Below are 25032 nucleotides of genomic sequence, written 5' to 3' on the forward strand. Positions count from 1 at the left end.
AAATTCAGTAAAAAATTCACATTTTTTCTGACATCTTATAAGCTTCAGTTAGATTCATAACTGCTTTCCAAATCTGATTTTACTTTGTTATGCTCTTTCACAAGTTCTGGCATACAGGTTTTATTAGCCTCATGCAGTGAGTGGAGTGCCAGTCCTCTTTTTCTAGTGTCTGAGACAGTATATATAAAATAGACATTATTTAAAATCAGAGAGTTTACCTGTTTGGGCTGAATGTCTTTTCTTGAACATAGGAAAGTTGGTGATAAATAGACAATGATAAATTAAACTTATTAGAAGTTATTTATTATATTCTATTTCATTTTGAGTCGATTTTGATGATTTACATTCTTCTAAAAATTTTTCTCATTATTTATAAGTCTTTATCTTAAGGCTGATCTTCATCTTACGATTTTATAAATCAGGGTAGAACAAAGAGAAAATCTCAAAAATACACCTCCCATGTTAACAGTAGTATGAGAATGTGCACCACTAATAGGAGCAATGGGATTTAGCAAGCTGAAAACGTAAGATGGGATTTTTAGTTGGTGATGCCATCCAAAAAAAAAATAAAAATTATTTCCCAGCTCTCATTGCAAAAGGATGTGTAGTCATGTGACCAGGTTCTGGAGATTAGCAAGTAAGTGGAAGTGGTATGTTTACTTGTTAAAAGGAAGAGCCACGTTCTTTTTTCCCTTTCCTTGACCGTGCCGGCTAGAAAGTGAATGTGATGGCTGGGGCTTCTTTCTTGGATCATTAAGTGAGAATGGATCATGCATAGAGGAACCAAAAGGTGGAAGGGACCCAATTTCCTAAGTACTTTATGTAACAGATCCACTATCTAGTCTTGGACACCCTACGTCTGGATTTTAACATGAGAGAAAAATCTTACACCCTTTTGATGGCTCTGCTATTGAGAGTTTTTAAAGTACTTAGGCGCTTATATATGTTATACAGAAAATATTGATAGAAAACCAAGAAAACTTATATGGTAAGTCTATTTTTCATCCTTATTGTGTTTGTATTTTCCAAATTTTACAAAAAGTTGCATTTAAACTTTAAATGTAATTAATATATGTTTGTTGACTTAAACTTTAGAAAACATAAGCAGAAGAAAAAAATTAGTGATATTCTCACTACTTACTTAAATTTTGATGTGCATTTTCACAGAGAAAGATAGATTACACCAAACAAAACCTAGTCCTCCATTCCTCTCCCTATAAACTCAGAGAACAATCCAGGAATCCTCATCAGAGCAGGAGGTCTTATCTGGTGGCCTTTAGGGTTTTAGTCAAACCATTATCCTAGAATATTATACCTTTTTAAAATCCCCTTTTCTACTCAAAGATAAATTTGGTTTTTAAAAAATGTCATTCCATATACTAAAAGTCCCCCAAATAGGCTAATTGTTTTGGATTTTGGTGGAGAAAGTGAATTTACAAGCAAAGAGTTAGGTACTTTGTGCTCTAAAACTTCATAACCTTTACTTGTAGGTTGGAAGATTAGAAGGTATTGCACTATAAGTTGTAATGGCCCGGAGGCAGCCATTATAGTCTAAAGGTCAATGCTCTGTGAGGCACAATTTTAGTAAGTGGATTCTGTGATTTGAAAAAAGAAGAAGAAAAAGAAGAAAAAAGTAAATTCTCTGGTTCAGCTTCAACAGAGGTGTTTTTTATGTTCCAGAGATAAATTCCTTGAGTCCCTTAGTTCACTGCAACTAAATAGAACAAAATATACTCTTACCCTCAATTCAGGTTTTGTAATTTAATAGTCTGAAGCTTGAGTAATGATTACACACACTTATTCACACACACAGCACTAATTTTACTGATGAAAAAAGGCTTTAAAAAGCTTTAAAAAGAAGACTTTTTAAAACCCTAGCTCTGTCAGAGATGCTTGTTAAAAACAAAGGTGTCACAAGTTGCTTCCTATCTCTATTAGTAAAATACAAAAATAGAAAACAGTGCAGAGAATAAAAATATCAACCTCTCAACAAGTGTTCCCACAGATCTTCTTCACAAGATAGCTCATGTACACATTATCCTTGTCATGTTGGATTCTCTGATAAAAGCTTAGAAAGAATAATGCAAATTAATGTCAACAATATACTTTTTGTCCAAATCATATAGCACTTTTGTCCAAATCATATAGCACTTTAGTCCAAATCATACAGTCCTAGGCTTTAATGAAACATCTGCAGTTTGTTGTGTGACATTAATTAATCTATTTAATTTTTCTGGCTTCAATTTATATTTTAAAATATTATTTTATTCTATAAAAGTGATACACACATAGTTTAAAAAGTTAAACATACAGTATAATATGCCGTAAAAAGTACATGCTCATCTCATCCTTGTTCCCTGGTTACCTTACAGAGAGGCAAATACTGTTAACATCTGAGATTATTCACCCTGGAGAGATAATGTGCAAATACAATCATACAGGCATGTTTTAGTATGTCAATCTGATAGGTTTAAATTACATATTATGTTATTTTAATAAACATTTATTTAATGGTTGACAAGGCTGAAAATATCTTCATTTCATTTAATTGAACTTTAATTCATTATAAGTTGTTTGAACTTATTTTTCTATAAACTGCCTGCTCATGTCATCCTCCCATTTCCTTACTGGTTTTAAAATATTTTTTCTAATTGATTCATAAGAACTCTTCATATAATAAGAAAGATAGCCCTTTATTATATATAGCATATTACAAATATTCTTCCTGCTTTGTCAATGCCATTGAATTTATAGTATTCTATTGCTATGCAGACAATGTTTAATTTTTATGTAGGCAAATTTATCACCTTTTATGGCTTCTAAGCTTTGTGCCATGCTTAGAAAGGCTTCTCTCATTACAAGATTAATTTTTAAATTCTCACATAATTTCTTTCAGTACTTTTAGAATTTCCTTTTGTAGTGATTAAATCTCTGATATTTGATTTCATCTTGGTATAAATCCATCTGAAGTAAGAATTAATTCATTATTTTTCCAGAAGACTAGGCAATTGTTCATGACTAGTTATTAAGTAAATTTGTTTGGGCATGGTTTTGAAATACTTCTTTGATAACAAGCCACATTACCATGAGGATTTTGGTATACATCTCAACTCTTCCTTTGGTCTATTGTGTTTTGTTTCTATGTGCCAGTAAAAGTGTGTTTTAATTAATATAGCATTTAGTACCTTGTAGAACTAATGTCACGTCAGAAATTTATGTGTTTCTAAATTGCTCCCTACTCTAAAAATTATCTGTGAAGTAATTTCATTGGAATAAAATTAATGTATAGGTAAATACAGAGAGATTTGCTGCCTTCAAAATATTGAGTCTTCTTATCCAATAAAAGGTATATCATTATATTTCTTCAATTCTTGTTTTATCCTTCATTCTTTTAAAGTCCCTTTATATATGTCTTGAACATTTCTTAAATTTACTCGTATTACATTTTATCATTTTGTTCCTATGACAAATACTACCTTTATCCCTTTATATTTTAATGTAACTTTCACTTATACATAGGAAAATAATTGGTTTGTTTGCATTAATGTTATTTTATTGTTTGTGGTGTTTTCCAGCTGTAAAATTTAATCATATATGTAAATAATGATAATTCTGTGTCATCTCTTCAAACCTTTGTATTTTTTTTCCTTTCCAATTCCACATTTATAACCTCTAAAGCAATGAGAAGTAATCATTGTAATGGTGGACATCATTGTCTTTCTCCTGTTGAAAATATTTTGAGTAGTTTCACCACTCAGCACAATGCAGGTTTTGGCTGTCAATTAGATGGATATTAAAAATATCTATTTATTATTTTTTTATCAAGAGTCTTTTAAAACCAACAATGGATTTTGAACTTAAATACCTTCATACCCTTTCTGAGCATAATAATATAAATTTTCTCTTCTGATATAATAGAAACATAAATTATATTAGTAATTTTTCTAATAATCTTAATTTTTTGTCTTGGTTATGATGTATTCTTTTAAAGCAATGTTGGATTCTGTTGGCTAATATATTATTTTGGATCAATATTCACAAAATGACTGATACACACACATACACACACACATGCACACACATACACACACACACTCACACACACACACATTTAGTATCCTGTCAAGTTTTGATATAATTATTTTGATGGGTACATACAAAAAATAAAAGTTTTTCTTCGATCTCTGCTAGAATCATTTCAATAGCATTGAAATTTTCTGAACATTGCGTTGACATTTTGGGTAGGCTTCAGGTGTAATATAATCTGGGCCTGATGCCTGCAACTTTTGAACAACTTTTATAATTTCTCTGAAATGCCCTAGATTTTCTATCCCTTTTGAAGTCACTTTTGGTGATTTAAGTTTCTAGAAATGTCAACCATTTTTTTTAGATTTTTAAAATCCATATGCATGAAGATAAGCAAAGACACATTTTAAATATCTGCACTAAGGTTCTCAACTTAATTTCTCATTTTAAATATTTTCGCTTTCTCCATCTCTTGCCATTTAAAAACTTATGTTAATGGTTTACCTATCTAATTAACCTTTTAAAAAGCGCAATTTTTAAAATTCATTCATTTCACTCTTTTTTGTAGCTATTTAGGAATTTCACACTTTATTTACTAGTTTCTTCATTCTGATTTCCTCAAGTTTATTTTATTGGTGATGACAATTTCTTATTTTGAATGTTTAATTTGTTCTTGTTCCTTCTTATTTGACAGTTTTTCTTTGAAATTTGATTTTTCCTCTGATCACCTTTTTTGCCTCCTTCAGGTTTCAGTATATATTGTTTTTAGTATGTTGTTTGGATTTCTTCTCTCACCTGACAGTGTTGTAAAAGAGATTAAAATCTTCATTTAGCTCCTAACATTTAAAAATTTTTTATAATTTAGGTATTTATCACTAATTTTATTTTACTGTGGATAAAATAAATAAAACAAAACTTGTGTTTTGAAGTGCATTACGATTTTTATCTCCTAATAAATGTTCATTCCTTAAGAAGTTCTATGTGTATTCATTTTATTCTGATCAGAATTTTTAGCAAGATGTTAAACTTTTGTTTCTTGAAACTAGTTTGTCATAACATATTGTAAGTAATTACAGTATTTATTTTCTAGGACTATTGTGAATGTGCAGACCTACATTTACTGCTAAGGAGAGTATTTTTATAAAATAATATTAAATCCAGTATTAGCTGTCTATTTCAGACACTGAATACTTGCAAAGATCCAGTTTTTTTAAGATGCGACCCCGTTGTTGAAAGTAAATGTATGCTTTGGATGTGAATATTAGCATCCCAATAAGGATGTGATGATATTAAGGTGGTGGTAGTGGGAAGTCAGTCTTGATTCCTTTGGAAATTTTAGATTTTTGTAAGTTTATTGAAAAAGTAATTTTTCCTGTACTGTTTCTTCTTGGTAAACAGATCTTTTGAAAAGAAAAACCGTGAAGGAGAAATTGAGGTGTGACTACATTTCCTCAAATAACCAGCATTGTATTTGTGAATACTGTGTACTTTGCAGTGAATGGTGTGGAAGCTGATCATTTTTCATTCTGAAGTAAAATACTTTTCCCCAAAAAGTCTATGTGTGTTTAAAAAGAAGGTATAATCCCTGTATGGTGTGTAATTTATATCAATAATATCTACTCTTAATTTTTAAATATTTTATATTTTCACTTTTCTTTTTTAAAATATATTTTTATTCTTATAGATACAGGGGGTACAAGTGCAGATTTCTTACATGTATGTATTGCCTAATGGCAAAGTCTGTTTTTAGCGTAGTCATCACCTGAACAGTGGACATTATGACCAATAGGTAATTTTTCAACCTTCACCTTCTGCATCTTTTTTTAGTCTCCAGTGCCCATTATTCCACTCTAGATGTCCATGTTTATCCTTTGTTTAACTTCTACTTACAAGTTAGAACATGAGGTTTTGACTTTGTTTCTGAGTTCTTTCACTTAAGATAATGGCCTGTAGTTCCATTCATGTTGCTGCAAAAGACATGATTCTTTTTTATGGCTCGGTAGTGTTTCATGGTATATGTATGCCACATTTCCTTTATCTAATTATCGTTGATGGAAACTTAGGTTGATTCTTTGCTATTATAAATAGTGCTGTGCTAGAAATACGAGTGCAGGTACCTTTTTGATAACGATTTACTTCCTTTTGGGTATATACCCAGTAGTGGGATTGCTGAATTGAATAGTAGTTCTATGTTTAGTTCTTTGAGAAACCTTCATACTATTTTCCATAAAGACTGTACTAATCTGCATTCCCACCAAGAGAGTATAAGCATTTCCTTTTCTCTGCATACTTGCCAGCATCTGCATTTTTTGACTTTTTTTTTTTTAATACTTTAAGTTCTGGGATACATGTGTAGAATGTGCAGGTTTGTTACATAGGTATACATGTGCCATGGTGGTCTGCTGCACCCATCAACCCGTCCTCTAAATTAGGTATTCCTCCTAATGCTATCTCTCCCCTAGCCCCCCACCCCCTGACAGGCCACGGTGTATGATGTTCCCCTCCCTGTGTCCATGTGTTCTCATTGTTCAACTCCCACTTACGAGTGAGAACACGTGGTGTTTGGTTTTCTGTTCCTGTGTTAGTTTGCTGAAAATGATGGCTTCCAGCTTCATTCATGTCCCTGCAAAGGACATAAACTCATCCTTTTTATGGCTACATAGTATTCCATGGTATATATGTGCCACATTTTCTTTATCCAGTCTATCGTTGATGGGCATTTGGGTTGGTTCCAAGTCTTTGCTATTGTGAACAGTGCCGCGATAAACGATAAACATATGTGTGCATGTGTCTTTATAGTAGAATGATTTATAATCCTTTGGGTATATACCCAGTAATGGGATGGTTGGGTCGAACGGTATTTCTGGTTCTAGATCCTTGAGGAATCGCTACACTGTCTTCCACAATGGTTGAACTAATTTACACTCCCACCAACAGTGTAAAAGTGTTCCCATTTCTCCACATCCTCTCCGGCATCTGTTGTTTCCTAACTTTTTAATGATCGTCATTCTAACTGGCATGAGATGGTATCTTACTGTGGTTTTGATTTGCATTTCTCTAATGACCAGTGATGATGAGCTTTTTTTTTTTTTCGTATGTTTGTTGGCTGTATAAATGTCTTCTTCTGAGAAGTGGCTGTTCATATTGTTTGCCCACTTTTTGATGGGGTTGTTATTTTCTTGTAAATTTGTTTAAGTTCCTTGTAGATTTTGGATATTAGCCCTTTGTCAGATGGATAGATTGCAAAAATTTTCTCCCATTCTGTAGGCTGCCTTTTCACTATGATGATAGTTTCTTCTGCTGTGCAGAAACTCTTTAGTTTAATTAGATCCCATTTGTCAATTTTGGCTTTTGTTGCCATGCTTTTGGTGTTTTAGTCATGAAGTCTTTGCTGATGCCTATGTCCTGAATGGTATTGCCTAGGTTTTCTTCTAGGGTTTTTATAGTTTTAGGTCATACATTTAAGTCTTTAATCCATCTTGAGTTAATTTTTGTATAATGTGTATGGAAGGGTTCCAGTTTCAGTTTTCTGCAGACGGCTAGCCAGTTTTCATAATGCCATTTATTAAATAGGGAATCCTTTCCCCATTGTTTGTTTTTGTCAGGTTTGTCAAAGATGAGATGGTTGTAGATGTGTGGCATGATTTCTGAGGCATCTGTTCTGTGTGTGTGTATATATATGTATATATATACATATATACGCACATATATACATATATATATACATACATATGTATGTATGCATCTCAGGGATGAAGCCAACCTAATCATGCTGGATAAGCTTTTTGATGTGCTGCTGGATTCGGTTTGCCAATATTTTATTGAGGATTTTCAAATCAATGTTCATCAGGTATATTGGCCTGAAATTTTCTTTTTTTGTTGTGTCTGTGCCAGGTTTTGGTATCAGGATGATGCTGGCCTCATAAAATGAGCTAGGGAGGAGTCCCTCTTTTTCTATTGTTGGGAATAGTTTCAGAAGGAATGGTACCAGCTTCTCTTTTAGAACTGGGCTGTGAATCCGTCTGGTCCTGGGCTTTTTTTGGTTGGTAGGCTATTAATTACTGCCTCAATTTCAGAACTTGTTATTGGTCTATTGAGGGATTTGACTTCTTCCTGGTTTAGTCTTGGGAGAGTGTACATGTACAGGAATTTATCCATTTCTTCTAAATTTTCTAGTTTACTTGCATAGAGGTGTTTATAGTATTCTCTGATGGTAGTTTGTATTTCTGTGGGATCGGTGGTGATATCCTCTTCATCATTTTTTATTGTGTCTATTTGATTCTTCTCTCTTTTCTTCATTAGTCTGGCTAACCATCTATCTGTTGTGTTAATCTTTTCAAAAAACCAGCTTCTGGATTCATTGATTTTTTGAAGGGCTTTTCATGTCTCTATCTTCTTCAGTTCTGCTCTGATCTTAGTTATTTCTTGTCTTCTGCTAGCTTTTGAATGTGTTTGCTCTTGCTTCTCTAGTTCCTTTAATCGTGATGTTAGGGTGACAATTTTTAGATCTTTCCTGCTTTCTCCTGTTGGCATCTAGCGCTATAAATTTCCCCCTAAACACTGCTTTAGCTGTGTCCCAGAGATTCTGGTATGTTGTGCCTTTGTTCTCATTGGTTTCAAAGAACTTATTTATTTCTGCCTTCATTTCATTATTTACCCAGTAGTCATTCAGGAGCAGGTTGTTCAGTTTTCATGTAGTTGTGCGGTTTTGAGTGAGTTTCTTTATCTGAGTTCTAATTTGATTGCACTGTGGTCTGAGAGACTGTTTGTTATGATTTCCATTATTTTGCATTTGCTGAGAAGTGTTTTACTTCCAATTATGTGGTCATTTTTAGAATAAGTGCCACGTGGTGCTGAGAAGAATGTATACTCTGTTGATTTGGGTTGGAGAGTTCTGCAGATGTCTATTAGGTCCGCTTGGTCCAGAGTTGAGTTCAAGTCCTGAATATCCTTGTTAATTTTCTGTCTCATTGATCTGTCTAATATTGACAGTAGGGTGTTAAAGTCTCCCACTATTATTTTGTGAGAGTCTAAGTCTCTTTGTAGGTCTCTAAGAACATGCTTTATGAATCTGGGTGCTCCTGTATAGGGTGCATATATATTTAGGATAGTTAGCTCTTCTTGTTGCATTGATCCCTTTACCATTATGTAATGCCTGTCTTTGTCTTTTTTGATCTTTGTTGGTTTAAAGTCTGTTTCATCAGAGACTAGGATTGCAACCCCTGTTTTTTTTTTTTTTTCTTTCCATTTGCTTGGTAAATATTCCTCTGTCCCTTTATTTTGAGCCTATATGTGCCTTTGCACATGACATGTGTCTCCTGAATATAGCACACTGATGGGTCTCGACTCTATCCCATTTGCCAGTCTGTGTCTTTTAATTGGGGCATTTAGCCCATTTACATTTAAGGTTAATATTGTTAAGTGTGAATTTGATCCTGTCATTATGATGCTAGCTGGTTATTTTGCCCATTACTTGATGCAGTTTCTTCATAGTGGTGATGTTTTTGCAGTGGCTGGTACCGGTTGTTCCTTTCCATATTTAGTGCTTCCTTCAGGAGCTCTTGTAAGGCAGGCCTAGTGGTGACAAAATCTCTCAGCATTTGCTTGTCTGTAAAGGATTTTATTTCTCCTTCACTTATGAAACTTAGTTTGGCTGGATTTGAGATTCTGGGTTGAAAATTCTTTTCTTTAAGAATGTTGAATATTGGCCCCCCTCTCTTCTACCTTTTAGGGTTTCTGTGGGGAGATCTGCTGTTAGTCTGATGGGCTTCCCTTTGTGGGTAATCCGACCTTTCTCTCTGGCTGCCCTTAACATTTTTTCCTTCGTTTCAACCTTGGTGAATCTGATGATTATGTGTCTTGGGGTTGCTCTTCTTGAGTATCTTTGTGGTGTTCTCTGTATTTCCTGAATTTGAATGTTGGTCTGTCTTGCTAAATTCTCTTGGATAATATCCTGAAGAGTGTTTTCCAACTTGGTTCCATTCTCCCCGTCACTTTCAAGTACACCAATCAAACGTAGGTTTGGTCTTTTCACATGGTCCCATTTTTTTTTTTAATATTTTTTATTATACTTTAAGTTCTAGAGTACATGCGCACAATGTGTAGGTTTGTTACATATGTATACATGTGCCATGTTGGTGTGCTGCACCCGTTAACTCATCATTTACATTAGGTATATCTCCTAATGATATCCCTCCCCGCTCCTCCCACCCCACAACAGGCCCCAGTGTGTGATGTTCCCCTTCCTGTGTCCATGTGTTCTCATTGTTCAATTCCCAGCTATGAGTGAGAACATGTGGTGTTTGGTTTTTTGTCCTTGTGATAGTTTGCTGAGAATGATGGTTTCCAGCTTCATCCATATCCCTACAAAGGACATGAACTCATCATTTTTTATGGCTGCATAGTATTCCATGGTGTATATGTGCCACATTTTCTTAATCCAGTCTATCACTGATGGACATCTGGGTTGGTTCCAAGACTTTGCTATTGTGAATAGTGCCGCAATAAACATACGTGTGCATGTATCTTTATAGCAGCATGATTTATAATCCTTTGGGTATATACCCAGTAATGGGATCACTGGGTCAAATGGTATTTCTAGTTGTAGATCTTTGAGGAATCGCCACACTGTCTTCCACAATGGTTGAACTAGTTTACAGTCCCACTAACAGTGTAAAAGTGTTCCTATTTCTCCACATCCTCTCCAGCTACTGTTGTTTCCTGACTTTTTAATGATCGCACATGGTCCCATATTTCTTGGAGGCTTTATTCATTCCTTTTCATTCTTTTTTCTCTAATCTTGTCTTCATGCTTTATTTCATTGAGTTGATCTTCAATCTCTGATATCCTTTGTTCCTCTTGATTGATCCAGCTATTGATATTTATGTATGCTTCATGAAGTTCTCGTGCTGTGTTTTGCAGTTCCATCATGTCATTTATAGTGTTCTCTAAACTGGTTATTCTAGTTAGCAATTCCTCTAACCTTTTTTCAAGGTTCTTAGCTTCTTTGCGTTGGGTTAGAACGTGCTTCTTTAGCTTGGAGGAGTTTGTTATTACGTACTTTCTGAAGCCTATTTCTGTCAATTTGGCAAACTCATTCTCCCTCCAGTTTTGTTCCCTTGCTGGCGAGGACTTGTGATCCTTTGGTGGAGAAGAGTTGTTCTGGTTTTTGGAATTTTCAGCCTTTTTGCACTGGTTTTTCCTCATCTTTGTGGATTTATCTACCTTTGGTCTTTGATGTTGGTGACCTTCAAGTGAGGTTTCTGTGTGGATGTCCTCTTTGTTGATGTTGATGCTATTGCTTTCTATTTGTTAGTTTTCCTTCTAACAGTCAGGCCCCTCTGCTGTAGGTCTGCTGAAGTTTGCTGGAGGTCCACTCCAGACCCTGTTTTCCTGGGTATCACCAATGGAGGCTGCAGAACAGCAAAGATTGCTCCCTGTTCCTTCCTCTGGAGGCTTTGTCCCAGAGGGTCACCTGCCAGATGCCAGCCAGAGCTCTCCTCTATGAGGTGTCTGTTGACCCCTGCTGGGAGGTGTCTCCCAGACAGGAGGCATGGGGGTCAGGGACCCACTTGAGGAGAGAGTCTGTCCCTTAGCAGAGCTCAGGTGCTATGCTGGGAGATCCACTGCTCTGTTTATAGACAGCAGGCAGGAACATTTACGTCTGCTGAAGCTGCGCCCACAGCCACCCCTTCCCCCAGGTGCTCTGTCCCAGGGAGATGGGAGTTTTATCTATAAGCCCCTGACTGGGGGTGCTGCCTTTCTTTCAGAGTTGCCCTGCCCAGAGAGGAGGAATCCAGAGAAGCAGTCTGGCTACAGCGGCTTTGTGGCGCTGCGGTGGGCTCTGCCCACTTTGACTTTTTAATAATAGCCATTCTGTAACAGTCAACAGACTAAACAGACAACCTATAGAATGAGAAAAAAATATTTGCAAACTATGCATCTGACAAATGGTTAATATCCAGAATCTACAAGGAACTCAAATAACTCACCAAAAAAGGAAATAACCCTTTTTACTTATTTTGATCTACTTGAAGAAGACGACACATGTACATCTATTATTATATTCTGTGTATCCATTTATCTTTGTATATGTTAAAGTTTTACCTTAGGAATCTTTATGCTATGCTATTTAGTAGATAAGTATTTATGATTATTGTACCTTCCTGTGAATTACAGCATTTGTCATTATACAATGCCTTCTTAGTTTTATGTAATATTTCTTTGCTGTGAATTCAATCTTGTCTGATATTATAGCCCCTACATAATTTTGTGTTTTCATAGGCATGCTACAGTGTATTTATCTTTTTCCTTTCAACCATCTGAGACACTTTGTTTTAGAAGCATTTATTCAGTTCTGCTGAAAGTTGAATTTTTATTTGTGACTTATTCTAAAAGTATTTTCCTAGGTGAGTCCATAAGATTTATCTTTATTGTGTATTTTCATTCTGCCATCATATCTTAATTCTGACATTTAGTTACCCTTGACTTTTATGTTTTATTACATTGTCTGGTTTACTGTGCTTTGTTTATTTGGAAGTATTTTCTTAAACTTATGTATTCTTTTGTCTTTTAGGCTCTGTCTGTGTTCACTTTACTTTGCTTTTTTGCATGCATTTTCCTCCTAATAATTTGAAAGGTGTATCATCTTTTTTATGGTTTACAATGCTTACCTTTATAATTTCACATATGTTTAATTTCATTTTAAATACATATCTTGCCTTCTACTATGAACAATAAATACATATTTATTGTTCATACTATGAACTTGCCTCTACCTCTCTTTCCTCAATTCCATCATTCAATTTACTTGGCTATTTTATTGTCCTTTGTTCCTGAGGTAGTTTTCTTTCTATGTTTAAATGCAATTCTGAATTCTGTTCTAGGTAATACGGCAAAGAAGCCATCACAAAAACCTTCCTAATATAGAACAATTAGAAATGATGGATACAGGCTGGGCGTGGTCACTTATGCCTGTAGTCCCAGCACTTTCGGAGGCCGAGGCGGGTGGATCACCAGAGGTCAGGAGTTTGAGACCAGCCTGACCAACATGGTGAAACCCCGTTTCTACTAAAAATACAAAATTAGCCAGGCGTGGTGGCATGTGCCTGTAATCCCAGCTACTCGGGAGGCTGAGGCAGGAGGATCGATTGAACCCAGGAGTCAGAGGTTGCAGTGAGCTGAGATTGCACCACTGCACTCCAACCTGGGCAACAAGAGCAAAACTCTGTCAAAAAAAAAAAAATGGATACAATATTTGATCTTTAAGTAAATAACTGAGCTGGCAAGAAATGGAGCCCTAACCATGAGAAGGTATGGCCACATAGAGTAAACAAAGTACTGTCACTGGAAGCTGCTTTGAGAGCATCCAACATCTGCTGGTGGCCTAGAGCTTGGGCCTTAATGGACCATATCTGTTTAGAGGATCAAAGAAGGCAAAGCCTGCTCAAAGAAGAAGGTTTGGACCAGAGATTCCTGTATGAACCAAAAACCTTGCAAAGTGACTCTTTGGGTGAAAAGGTAAAAATGTTACGATTAATTATAAAATTATTTATTATAAAATTATTTATAATTCATAATGTATTGATTAAATAACAAAACACCCAGCAGAGAGAAATATAAAACAGATGTTTGCTATCTTAAACTTGGCTCTTGGTGGATGGGTTTGGGAAAATGTTTCCCTGAGAATTCAAAACCACAAAGAAGCCTTTACATGGATTTGGGGATGGATTTCAAAGAATTCAATGCCCTTGGAAAACCCAGAGCTCAGGATTTAATTTGAACTGGTTCTGGTTATGTAGTGCTCCTAGGTGACTGATAGAAGCAAAAATAAATCATATCTAAGGAAAAACACTTTAAACTTGAGCTTCAAAAAAATTCCACAGCCCAAATTCCAAGGAATGTGAGATCAAAATTTAAACTATCATATTAAGTGAGGAAATAAACCACCATGAGCAAGAGTCAATAGAATGAAAGGAAAAAAAAAACACCACCAATACATGTTAGACCCACTAAGATTATAGGAGTAGAAATTACTATATGCAGGATATAAAATAGGTATGTTTAATTTGCTTAAGGAAATAAGAGACTCTTTAAGTATTATTAAGAAGTAAAAGACTATGAAAAATGACCAGGCTAAATAAAAAATGAACCAAAGAACTTGTAAAAATAATTAGAAACTCAATGGACTAAACAGTAGATTAGACTTTAACAGCTGATTGGACAGAATAAAATCAGTGAACATGGAGGCTAAGTCTAACAAATCTCTAATCAAATTTCCTGAGGAGGATAATAGAATTGGGGAAAGACACAATTCAAAATGACATTGAGAATTTTGCAGAAAAAATAAAAACACAAACCTTTAGATTCAGTGTCCTGATAAGAGACAAATAAGATAAAGGAAAAAAAAAAAGACATTTAGATACGCAATGAAACTGCAGATTGCCAAAGAAAAGAGAGATTCTTAAAAGGTGATAGAGGAAAAAAAACAAAAACACTAGGTAACTTAAAACAAATGACAATTTGATTGAGACCATCAGAAGATGGGATAATATCTTCAAAATGCTAAGAGAAAATAACTGTCAACCTAGAGTTGTATAGCCAGTGAAACATCTTCCAATGTGAAATTAGCACATTTCTAACAAACTAAAAGATCTATTTTCTTAAAAAACAAAAAATTCTAAGAGAAGAATGTCAAAGCAAAGAAAAAATGATCCCTAAAAGAACTAAGATGTAAGGGAGAATGCTAAGACAAGACATTGGTAAAGATATGGGAAAATCTGTATTAACAGCAATAATGTCTTTGTTGTAGTGTAAAAAACAGAATTCTTTTCATAGAAAGCATCTTCTGAGACAATCCTATTTTATGAAACACACTCAGCAAAATGCTGCTAATTAATGCTAGGCTGGGTGCCAGAGCCAGACCCTTTGCTAGTATAGTTAGTGAGTACAGATGCCCACCCAGCCTCTCAATTTCAACAAAGCTTTGTTCTCTATTTATTGTGAAGAATTCATTTTATGGATACAATTATTGGTTACAATAGCAGTCACCAGCCTGCAGATCTAGGAAGTTCAACATTTTGTTGAACTATGAATGTCACAATTATGCCTTATGAGAAACTAGGAACTGTAACCACACTAAAACTGTGAGAATTCGTCTCTTAAATCTTGACATATTTGTATTAAAGACCAGAGGAAAACCTGGCAAAGAATACAGTACAGTTATATCATCATTGAATTTTTATTTTTCTAACTACCATGATGAGATTCCAAGTTTCTCTCTTTAAAAGAAAATAAATCATTATGATGCCATCATGAAATCATTTCTAATCCAATGGTGCCAGTCATTACTACCATTTGAAATATAGTTATGCCTTTCAGCTGTAGCTTAGTAATGATATTAAGTCTGAATTTTCCTGCAAAAGCAATTTATTCATGTCACCACTTACTGCTGTAAGCTTGTTTATGGCTTTCTAAATGGGATCTGTTTCACCATTTGGTTCTTTCTTCAGCACATTTTGCCTTTTGTAAAACACATACATTTCCTCCAATGCAATCATAAATGATGACAGAGGAGAAGAACTGAATTAGAATGTAAAGCTACTTCCTAAAGTATCTACATATGATGACCAGATTTACAAAGAGGAAAGGAGAAGCACATTGCAGCAATAGAAGAGATGTTCAGAATCTTACAAAAATCCTGAATTATGATGTCAAAACCCTGCCTCCAGTTGTGAAAATTGAAGTATAATTACTAAAACTAATATTCATAGTAATGTGAACTCTTTTTATAAGACTGCCTCTTGAAAAGAGTAAAACAGCTAAAATAAAGTGTTTCATTTTGTATCTTAATTTTGCTGGTGAAACTACACATGTGATTAAATAAATTAGAACTATATACACCCTTTATACCAATATGATTTTGATATTGAGCTATAGCCACCTAAGATGTAAGCAATAGGGGAAATTGGTGAAGGGTGCATAGGACCTCTGTATTATCTCTGCAACTTCTTATGGATCTATAATTATTACTAAATTTTAAAAAATTTAAAACCTATTTCCTCACCTTTCAATTTTTTTAATTTATTTATTTATTATTATTATACTTTAAGTTTTAGGGTACATGTGCACAATGTGCAGGTTAGTTACATATGTATACATGTGCCATGCTGGTGCGCTGCACCCACTAACTCGTCATCTAGCATTAGGTATATCTCCCAATGCTATCCCTCCCCCCTCCCCCCACCCCACAACAGTCCCCAGAGTGTGATGTTCCCCTTCCTGTGTCCGTGTGTTCTCGTTGTTCAATTCCCACCTATGAGTGAGAATATGCGGTGTTTGGTTTTTTGTTCTTGTGATAGTTTACTGAGAATGATGATTTCCAATTTCATCCATGTCCCTACAAAGGACATGAACTCATCATTTTTTATGGCTGCATAGTATTCCATGGTGTATATGTGCCACATTTTCTTAATCCAGTCTATCATTGTTGGACATTTGGGTTGGTTCCAAGTCTTTGCTATGGTGAATAATGCCGCAATAAACATACATGTGCATGTGTCTTTATAGCAGCATGATTTATAGTCCTTTGGGTCTATACCCAGTAATGGGATGGCTGGGTCAAATGGTATTTCCAGTTCTAGATCCCTGAGGAAATGCCACACTGACTTCCACAATGGTTGAACTAGTTTACAGTCCCACCAACAGTGTAAAAGTGTTCCTATTTCTCCACATCCTCTCCAGCACTTGTTGTTTCCTGACTTTTTAATGATTGCCATTCTAACTGGTGTGAGATGGTATCTCATTGTGGTTTTGATTTGCATTTCTCTGATGGCCAGTGATGGTGAGCATTTTTTCATGTGTTTTTTGGCTGCATAAATGTCTTCTTTTGAGAAGTGTCTGTTCATGTCCTTCGCCCACTTTTTGATGGGGTTGTTTGTTTTTTCTCATAAATTTGTTTGAGTTCATTGTAGATTCTGGATATTAGCCCTTTGTCAGATGAGTAGGTTGCAAAAATTTTCTCCCATTTTGTAGGTTGCCTGTTCACTCTGATGGTAGTTTCTTTTGCTGTGCAGAAGCTCTTTAGTTTAATTAGATCTCATTTGTCAATTTTGTCTTTTGTTGCCATTGCTTTTGGTGTTGTAGACATGAAGTCCTTGCCCATGCCTATGTCCTGAATGGTAATGCGTAGGTTTTCTTCTAGGGTTTTTATGGTTTTAGGTCTAACGTTTTAAGTCTTTAATCCGTCTTGAATTGATTTTTGTATAAGGTGTAAGGAAGGGATCCAGTTTCAGCTTTCTACATACAGCTAGCCAGTTTTCCCAGCACCATTTATTAAATAGGGAATCCTTTCCCCATTGCTTGTTTTTCTCAGGTTTGTCAAAGATCAGATAGTTGCAGATATGCGGCGTTATTTCTGAGGGCTCTGTCCTGTTCCATTGATCTTTATCTCTGTTTTGGTACCAGTACCATGCTGTTTTGGTGACTGTAGCCTTGTAGTATAGTTTGAAGTCAGGTAGTGTGATGCCTCCAGCTTTGTTCTTTTGTTTTAGGATTGACTTGGCGATGCGGGCTCTTTTTTGGTTCCATATGAACTTTAAAGTAGTTTTTTCCAATTCTGTGAAGAAAGTCATTGGTAGCTTGATGGGGATGACATTGAATCTGTAAATTACCTTGGGCAGTATGGCCATTTTCATGATATTGATTCTTCCTACCCATGAGCATGGAATGTTCTTCCATTTCTTTCTATCCTCTTTTATTTCCTTGAGCAGTGGTTTGTAGTTCTCCTTGAAGAGGTCTTTCACAGCCCTTGTAAGTTGGATTCCTAGGTATTTTATTCTCTTTGAAGCAACTGTGAATGGGAGTTCACTCATGATTTGGCTCTCTGTTTGTCTGTTGTTGGTGTATAAGAATGCTTGTGATTTTTGTACATTGATTTTGTATCCTGAGACTTTGCTGAAGTTGCTTATCAGCTTAAGGAGATTTTGGGCTGAGACAATGGGGTTTTCTAGATACACAATCGTGTCATCTGCAAACAGGGACAATGTGACTTCCTCTTTTCCTCTTTGAATACCCTTTATTTCCTTCTCCTGCCTAATTGCCCTGGCCAGAACTTCCAACACTATGTTGAATAGGAGTGGTGAGAGAGGGCATCCCTGTCTTGTGCCAGTTTTCAAAGGGAATGCTTCCAGTTTTTGCCCATTCAGTATGATATTGGCTGTGGGTTTGTCATAGATAGCTCTTATTATTTTGAAATACGTCCCATCAATACCTAATTTATTGAGAGTTTTTTGCATGAAGGGTTGTTGAATTTTGTCAAAGGCCTTTTCTGCATCTATTGAGATAATCATGTGGTTTTTGTCTTTGGTTCTGTTTATATGCTGGATTACATTTATTGATTTGCGTATATTGAACCAGCCTTGCATCCCAGGGATGAAGCCCACTTGATCATGGTGGATAAGCTTTTTGATGTGCTGCTGGATTCTGTTTGCCAGTATTTTATTGAGGATTTCTGCATCAATGTTCATCAAGGATATTGGTCTAAAATTCTCTTTTTTGGTTGTGTCTCTGCCCGGCTTTGGTATCAGGATGATGCTGGCCTCATAAAATGAGTTAGGGAGGATTCCCTCTTTTTCTATTGATTGGAATAGTTTCAGAAGGAATGGTACCAGTTCCTCCTTGTACCTCTGGTAGAATTCGGCTGTGAATCTGTCTGGTCCTAGACTCTTTTTGGTTGGTAAGCTATTGATTATTGCCACAATTTCAGCTCCTGTTATTGGTCTATTCAGAGATTCAACTTCTTCCTGGTTTAGTCTTGGGAGAGTGCATGTGTCCAGAAATTTATCCATTTCTTCCAGATTTTCTAGTTTATTTGCGTAGAGGTGTTTGTAGTATTATCTTATGGTAGTTTATATTTCTGTGGGATCGGTGGTGATATCCCCTTTATCATTTTTTATTGCGTCTATTTGATTCTTCTCTCTTTTCTTCTTTATTAGTCTTGCTAGCGATCTATCAATTTTGTTGATCCTTTCAAAAAACCAGCTCCTGGATTCATTAATTTTTTGAAGGGTTTTTTGTGTCTCTATTCCCTTCAGTTCTGCTCTGATTTTAGTTATTTCTTGCCTTCTGCTATCTTTTGAATGTGTTTGCTCTTGCTTTTCTAGTTCCTTTAATTGTGATGTTAGGGTGTCAATTTGGATCTTTCCTGCTTTCTCTTGTGGGCATTTAGTGCTATAAATTTCCCTCTACACACTGCTTTGAATGCGTCCCAGAGATTCTGGTATGTTGTGTCTTTGTTCTCGTTGGTTTCAAAGAACATCTTTATTTCTGCCTTCATTTCGTTATGTATCCAGTAGTCATTCAGGAGCAGGTTGTTCAGTTTCCATGTAGTTGAGCGGTTTTGAGTGAGTTTCTTAATCCTGAGTTATAGTTTGATTGCACTGTGGTCTGAGAGATAGTTTGTTATAATTTCTGTTCTTTTACATTTGCTGAGGAGAGCTTTACTTCCAAGTATGTGGTCAATTTTGGAATAGGTGTGGTGTGGTGCTGAAAAAAATGTATATTCTGTTGATTTGGGGTGGAGAGTTCTGTAGATGTCTATTAGGTCCACTTGGTGCAGAGCTGAGTTCAATTCCTGGGTATCCTTGTTGACTTTCTGTCTTGTTGATCTGTCTAATGTTGACAGTGGTGTGTTAAAGTCTCCCATTATTAACGTGTGGGAGTTTAAGTCTCTTTGTAGGTCACTCAGGACTTGCTTTATGAATCTGGGTGCTCCTGTATTGGGTGCATATATATTTAGGATGGTTAGCTCTTCTTGTTGAATTGATCCCTTTACCATTATGTAATGGCCTTCTTTGTCTTTTTTGATCTTTGTTGGTTTAAAGTCTGTTTTATCCGAGACTAGGATTGCAACCCCTGCCTTTTCTTGTTTTCCATTTGCTTGGTAGATCTTCCTCCATCCTTTTATTTTGAGCCTATGTGTCTCTGCACGTGAGATGGGTTTCCTGAATACAGCACACTGATGGGTCTTGACTCTTTATCCAGTTTGCCAGTCTGTGTCTTTTAATTGGAGCATTTAGTCCATTTACATTTAAAGTTAATATTGTTATGTGTGAATTTGATCCAGTCATTATGTTAGCTGGTTATTTTGCTCGTTAGTTGATGCAGTTTCTTCCTAGTCTCGATGGCCTTTACATTTTGGCATGATTTTGCAGTGGCTGGTACCAGTTGTTCCTTTCCATGTTTAGTGCTTCCTTCAGGAGCTCTTTTTGGGTAGGCCTGGTGGTGACAAAATCTGTCAGCATTTGCTTGTCTGTAAAGTATTTTATTTCTCCTTCATTTATGAAGCTTAGTTTGGCTGGATATGAAATTCTGGGTTGAAAATTCTTTTCTTTAAGAATGTTGAATATTGGCCCCCACTCTCTTCTGGCCTGTAAAGTTTCTGTCGAGAGATCTGCTGTTAGTCTGATGGGCTTCCCTTTGAGGGTAACCCGACCTTTCTCTCTGGCTGCCCTTAACATTTTTTCCTTCATTTCAACTTTGGTGAATCTGACAATTATGTGTCTTGGAGTTGCTCTTCTCGAGGAGTATCTTTGTGGCATTCTCTCTATTTCCTGAATCTGAACGTTGGCCTGCCTTGCTAGATTGGGGAAGTTCTCCTGGATGATATCCTGCAGAGTGTTTTCCAACTTGGTTCCATTCTCCCCGTCACTTTCAGGTACACCAATCAGACCTAGATTTGGTCTTTTCACATAGTCCCATATTTCTTGGAGGCTTTGCTCGTTTCTTTTTATTCTTTTTTCTCTAAACTTCCCTTCTCGCTTCATTTCATTCATTTCATCTTCCATCGGTGATACCCTTTCTTCCAGTTGACCGCATTGGCTCCTGAGGCTTCTGCATTCTTCACATAGTTCTCGAGCCTTGGTTTTCAGCTCCATCAGCTCCTTTAAGCACTTCTCTGTATTGATTATTCTAGTTATACATTCTTCTAAATTTTTTTCAAAGTTTTCAACTTCTTTTCCTTTGGTTTGAATGTCCTCCTGTAGCTCGGAGTAATTTGATCGTCTGAAGCCTTCTTCTCTCAGCTCGTCAAAGTCATTCTCCATCCAGCTTTGTTCCATTGCTGGTGAGGAACTGCGTTCCTTTGGAGAAGGAGAGGCGCTCTGCTTTTTAGAGTTTCCAGTTTTTCTGCTCTGTTTTTTCCCCATCTTTGTGGTTTTATCTACTTTTGGTCTTTGATGATGGTGATGTACAGATGGGTTTTTTGGTGTGGATATCCTTTCTGTTTGTTAGTTTTCCTTCTAACAGACAGGACCCTCAGCTGCAGGTCTGTTGGAATACCCTGCCGTGTGAGGTGTCAGTCTGCCCCTGCTGGGGGGTGCCTCCCAGTTAGGCTGCTCAGGGGTCAGGGGTCAGGGACCCATTGAGGAGGCAGTCTGCCTGTTCTCAGATCCCAGCTTCGTGCTGGGAGAACCACTGCTCTCTTTAAAGCTGTCAGACAGGGACATTTAAGTCTGCAGAGGTTACTGCTGTCTTTTTGTTTGTCTGTGCCCTGCCCCCAGAGGTGGAGCCTACAGAGGCAGGCAGGCCTCCTTCAGCTGTGGTGGGCTCCACCCAGTTGGAACTTGCCAGCTGCTTTGTTTACCTAAGCAAGCCTGGGCAATGGCGGGCGCCCCTCCCCCAGCCTCGCTGCTGCCTTGCAGTTTGATCTCAGACTGCTGTGCTAGCAATCAGCGAGACTACATGGGCTTAGGACCCTCCGAGCCAGGTGCGGGATATAATCTCCTGATGCGCTGTTTTTTAAGCCCGTCGGAAAAGTGCAGTATTCGGGTGGGAGTGACCCGATTTTCCAGGTGCTGTCTGTCACCCCTTTCTTTGACTAGGAAAGGGAACTCCCTGACCCCTTGCGCTTCCCGAGTGAGGCAATGCCTCGCCCTGCTTCGGCTTGCACACGGTGCGCGCACCCACTGACCTGCGCCCACTGTCTGGCACTCCCTAGTGAGATGAACCCTGTACCTCAGATGGAAATGCAGAAATCACCCGTCTTCTGCATCACTCATGCTGGGAGCTGTAGACCGGAGCTGTTCCTATTACTCACCTTTCAATTTTTAAAATTATTTCAGTTTTAAAAAAGTATTTGTAGAGATGAGGTCTTGCTATGTTGCCCAGGCTAGTCTTGAACTCCTGGGCTCAAGTGATCCTCTCGCCTTGGCCTCCCAAAGTGCTGGGATTACAGGAATGAGCCACCATGTCTGTCCAATTCTCAATTTTAAAAAGGAAGAAGATGGGAATTTTTCACTGACTCAAGGAAAAATACAGTGTATGCTTGGCTTTCTGGTCTCCATTACAAGAGTTTACCACCTCTCTGAGATTTTTCCTTCTTTCCTACAGAATTCCAGCTGCCAGTGGTAGGAAGGATTCTTCCTGCCTGAGCTCACAGACACAAATCCCAGAGGCTGTACATGTCCCAGCAAAGAAGATATTGAAAATGTGTGAAAATGGGTAAGAGTCCCAACTCACCCTATTTATATTACCTGTCAGTTCGTTCCCTCCTACAATGAAATAGCCATAACTGCTGCTAGCCATTAGACTACAAAGTTCTTTACACATGTAATCTCACAGAATCCTCTCAATCCACACTGGGTCTGGTAAGATCATACTTACATTTGACCATAGTTCCAGACATCATGTTGCCTTGGTCAGAGATGTGGTATTCATTTAATCTCTATTCTCCAAAAACCACTTTAGTAGCCAGATAAAAACTCTTCCTAGAGAATTCACAGAAGAGGAGATTTGAGGCTGGATTCTTTAGGTTTTTTGTTTCCCATGTGCTGGGCAGAATGTTATGTGTTTTACAGGAAATATCTCATCTGATACCTCCCAAAAACTAATGAAATAGGTCCTGTTATCTTTATTTTTTCCCTCTTTTTGACAGATGAGGAAATAGAGGCATAAAGAAGTCAGGGACTTTGGCAAGGCAGGTAGAATACCTGAGATTTGAGCCCAGGGATTACCCAATTCAAAGCTCCTGTTTTTAATCACTTTGCTATACTGCCCATTACAAGTGCATTATGGATGTCTTCAGGTACCACTGAGGTGTTGATATTATCCATATTCAGGTTTCCGAACAACCGCTAACCACAAAACACAAGAGTCCACAGCTTCATCCACTCATACAATTGGGAATGTTACCAGGTGGTCTTAAAAAAACAATATCATAGTCAAATAAGTGTGAGAACACCAATATTAAACATGAATACATTTATTAACAAGATTAAAGAGATTTTTTTAAAAATAGGAGCTCTCAGAAATGGTAATGTTTAGGTATGCATTGTAAATCTCCAAGATTATAGTATTTGTATTTCTCAAGTATATTTGATCACAGAACCTTCTTTTTCTCCATGGCATCTTTCATATTTTGGGCACTAATTTCCATAGATCTCAGAAAAATAACTTTCTCCCTCTATTCTGAAAAAGGCTTCTGTTCTCTTCCTTGGAGCAGTCTTGATTTTGCGCTGTCAGTTCTTCTGACCCATTACCACCCCTGCATTCCACTATCTGCTTTGAGCTGTTCTTTCTTTTCATTTCTTGCTCTCTTTCTCCCCCATGTTGGGAATATTTCCCCAGTTTTCCACTTCAGATAACCTCAGCAAGCAGTGAGTGTGTGCCTTGCTTCCGGTTGGTGCACAGCCAGGTGACAGATCTGTTCTCACAGGGCATCTTGAACTTTTTTGCCTATTTTTTCCTACTGCATTACGATTAAGACTTTCTTGTTTTTTTTTTTTCCCCAGGAAAATGGACATTCTGAACTCTTCTAAAGCAACTGATAGGTGATTTTACTGATGCTGATAACATTAGAGAGTAGGATAGTTTATGGTAAAATAACATATTTTTAAATATTAGAATACACGTGTACACATACATACGTACATAGATGTAATATACTCACATATTATAACCTTGTTCAATAAATTTGACATCTTCCCACAGACACTGAAGAGATATTTAACACATACTATTGAACACTGTAGAAAGCTAGATGAAATGAGTTCAGAAAAACTTTGTACCAATAGACCTGGTACCTATACTTTGTCATGTTAACAACGAAGTATTATATGTTATAGGCCCATTGTTCACCCCTTAGAGCACCTAAAAGGAGTAGTTTTCATTGCCTTACACCTCATCAAGCCAACTAAGAAGAAAGGTGGCTGGGTCAGATGGCTCAGGCCTATAATCCCAGAACTTTTGGAGGCCGAGGTGGAAGGATCGCTTGAGCCCAGGACTTTGAGACCAGCCTGGGCAATAGTGAGACAAAAAATTTAAAAATTAGCCAGGTGTCGTGGTGCATGCCTGTAGTCTCAGCTACTTGGGAGGCTATAGTAGCTGAGCCCAGGAAGTGGAGGCTGCAATGAGCCACGATCACACCACTGAACTCCAGCCTGTGCAACAGAGCAAGATCATGTCTAAAAACAAACACACACACACACACACACACACACACACACACACACACACACGAGAGAGAGAGAGAGAGAGAGAAGAAAGGTATATCATTTTGGGAACTTCAAAATTATAGTGACAACATTAGGTTTGACATGATAGGTATATTATTTGATAATAAAAGCTCATTTCATCATAATGATAGAAGTACCACTACTCTCTTTTCTTTCCATTTTGAACTCTATGTATTTAAATAATAAGGAAGAAAAAAAGACAGTGAGGATTATTAAGAGACAGATGTTAAATATAAAGAAAAAATAGGCCAGATGTGGTAGCTCAGGAGGCTGAGGCAGGAGGATTGCTTGAGCCCAGGACATGGAGACTGCAGTGAGCCGTGATTACACCACTGCACTCCAGCTTGGGTGACAGAGCAAGACCCTGTCTCAAAAAGTAATAGTAAAGAAAGAAAGAAATATAAATAAGAATCATTCCAATTCATACATAGAATAAATATTAGCACACAGATGATAAAACTTGAAATGTGTAAAATTCTAATAATCAAAATAATTT

General features: G+C 36.8%; 1 protein-coding gene and 1 long non-coding RNA gene across 5 annotated transcripts in view, besides 2 other annotated features; one reads left to right on the forward strand and one right to left on the reverse strand.

Annotated features, from left to right (window-relative positions):
* The window catches only part of SEM1 (SEM1 26S proteasome subunit), a 228221-nt gene that overhangs the window by 82233 nt on the left and 120956 nt on the right, over positions 1–25032 (reverse strand). The gene's annotated exons all lie outside the window — the stretch shown is intronic.
* Positions 665–24173, forward strand: LOC107986825 (uncharacterized). Its single transcript, XR_001745289.2, has 3 exons — positions 665–988; positions 22414–22524; positions 23814–24173. It is a non-coding gene; the product is annotated as an uncharacterized LOC107986825 (long non-coding RNA).
* Positions 21075–21576: an enhancer, noted in NCBI's record as "H3K4me1 hESC enhancer chr7:96214245-96214746 (GRCh37/hg19 assembly coordinates)". NCBI's record gives its function as "activates a minimal SCP1, AML or CMV promoter by ChIP-STARR-seq in primed H9 embryonic stem cells {active_cell/tissue: H9 hESC(primed)}" and the evidence as "EXISTENCE:reporter gene assay evidence [ECO:0000049][PMID:30033119]".
* Positions 21577–22076: an enhancer, noted in NCBI's record as "H3K4me1 hESC enhancer chr7:96214747-96215246 (GRCh37/hg19 assembly coordinates)". NCBI's record gives its function as "activates a minimal SCP1, AML or CMV promoter by ChIP-STARR-seq in primed H9 embryonic stem cells {active_cell/tissue: H9 hESC(primed)}" and the evidence as "EXISTENCE:reporter gene assay evidence [ECO:0000049][PMID:30033119]".

The sequence above is a fragment of the Homo sapiens genome, chromosome 7 (genome assembly GCF_000001405.40).
Source record: "Homo sapiens chromosome 7, GRCh38.p14 Primary Assembly".
NCBI classification, from domain to species: Eukaryota; Metazoa; Chordata; class Mammalia; order Primates; family Hominidae; genus Homo; species Homo sapiens.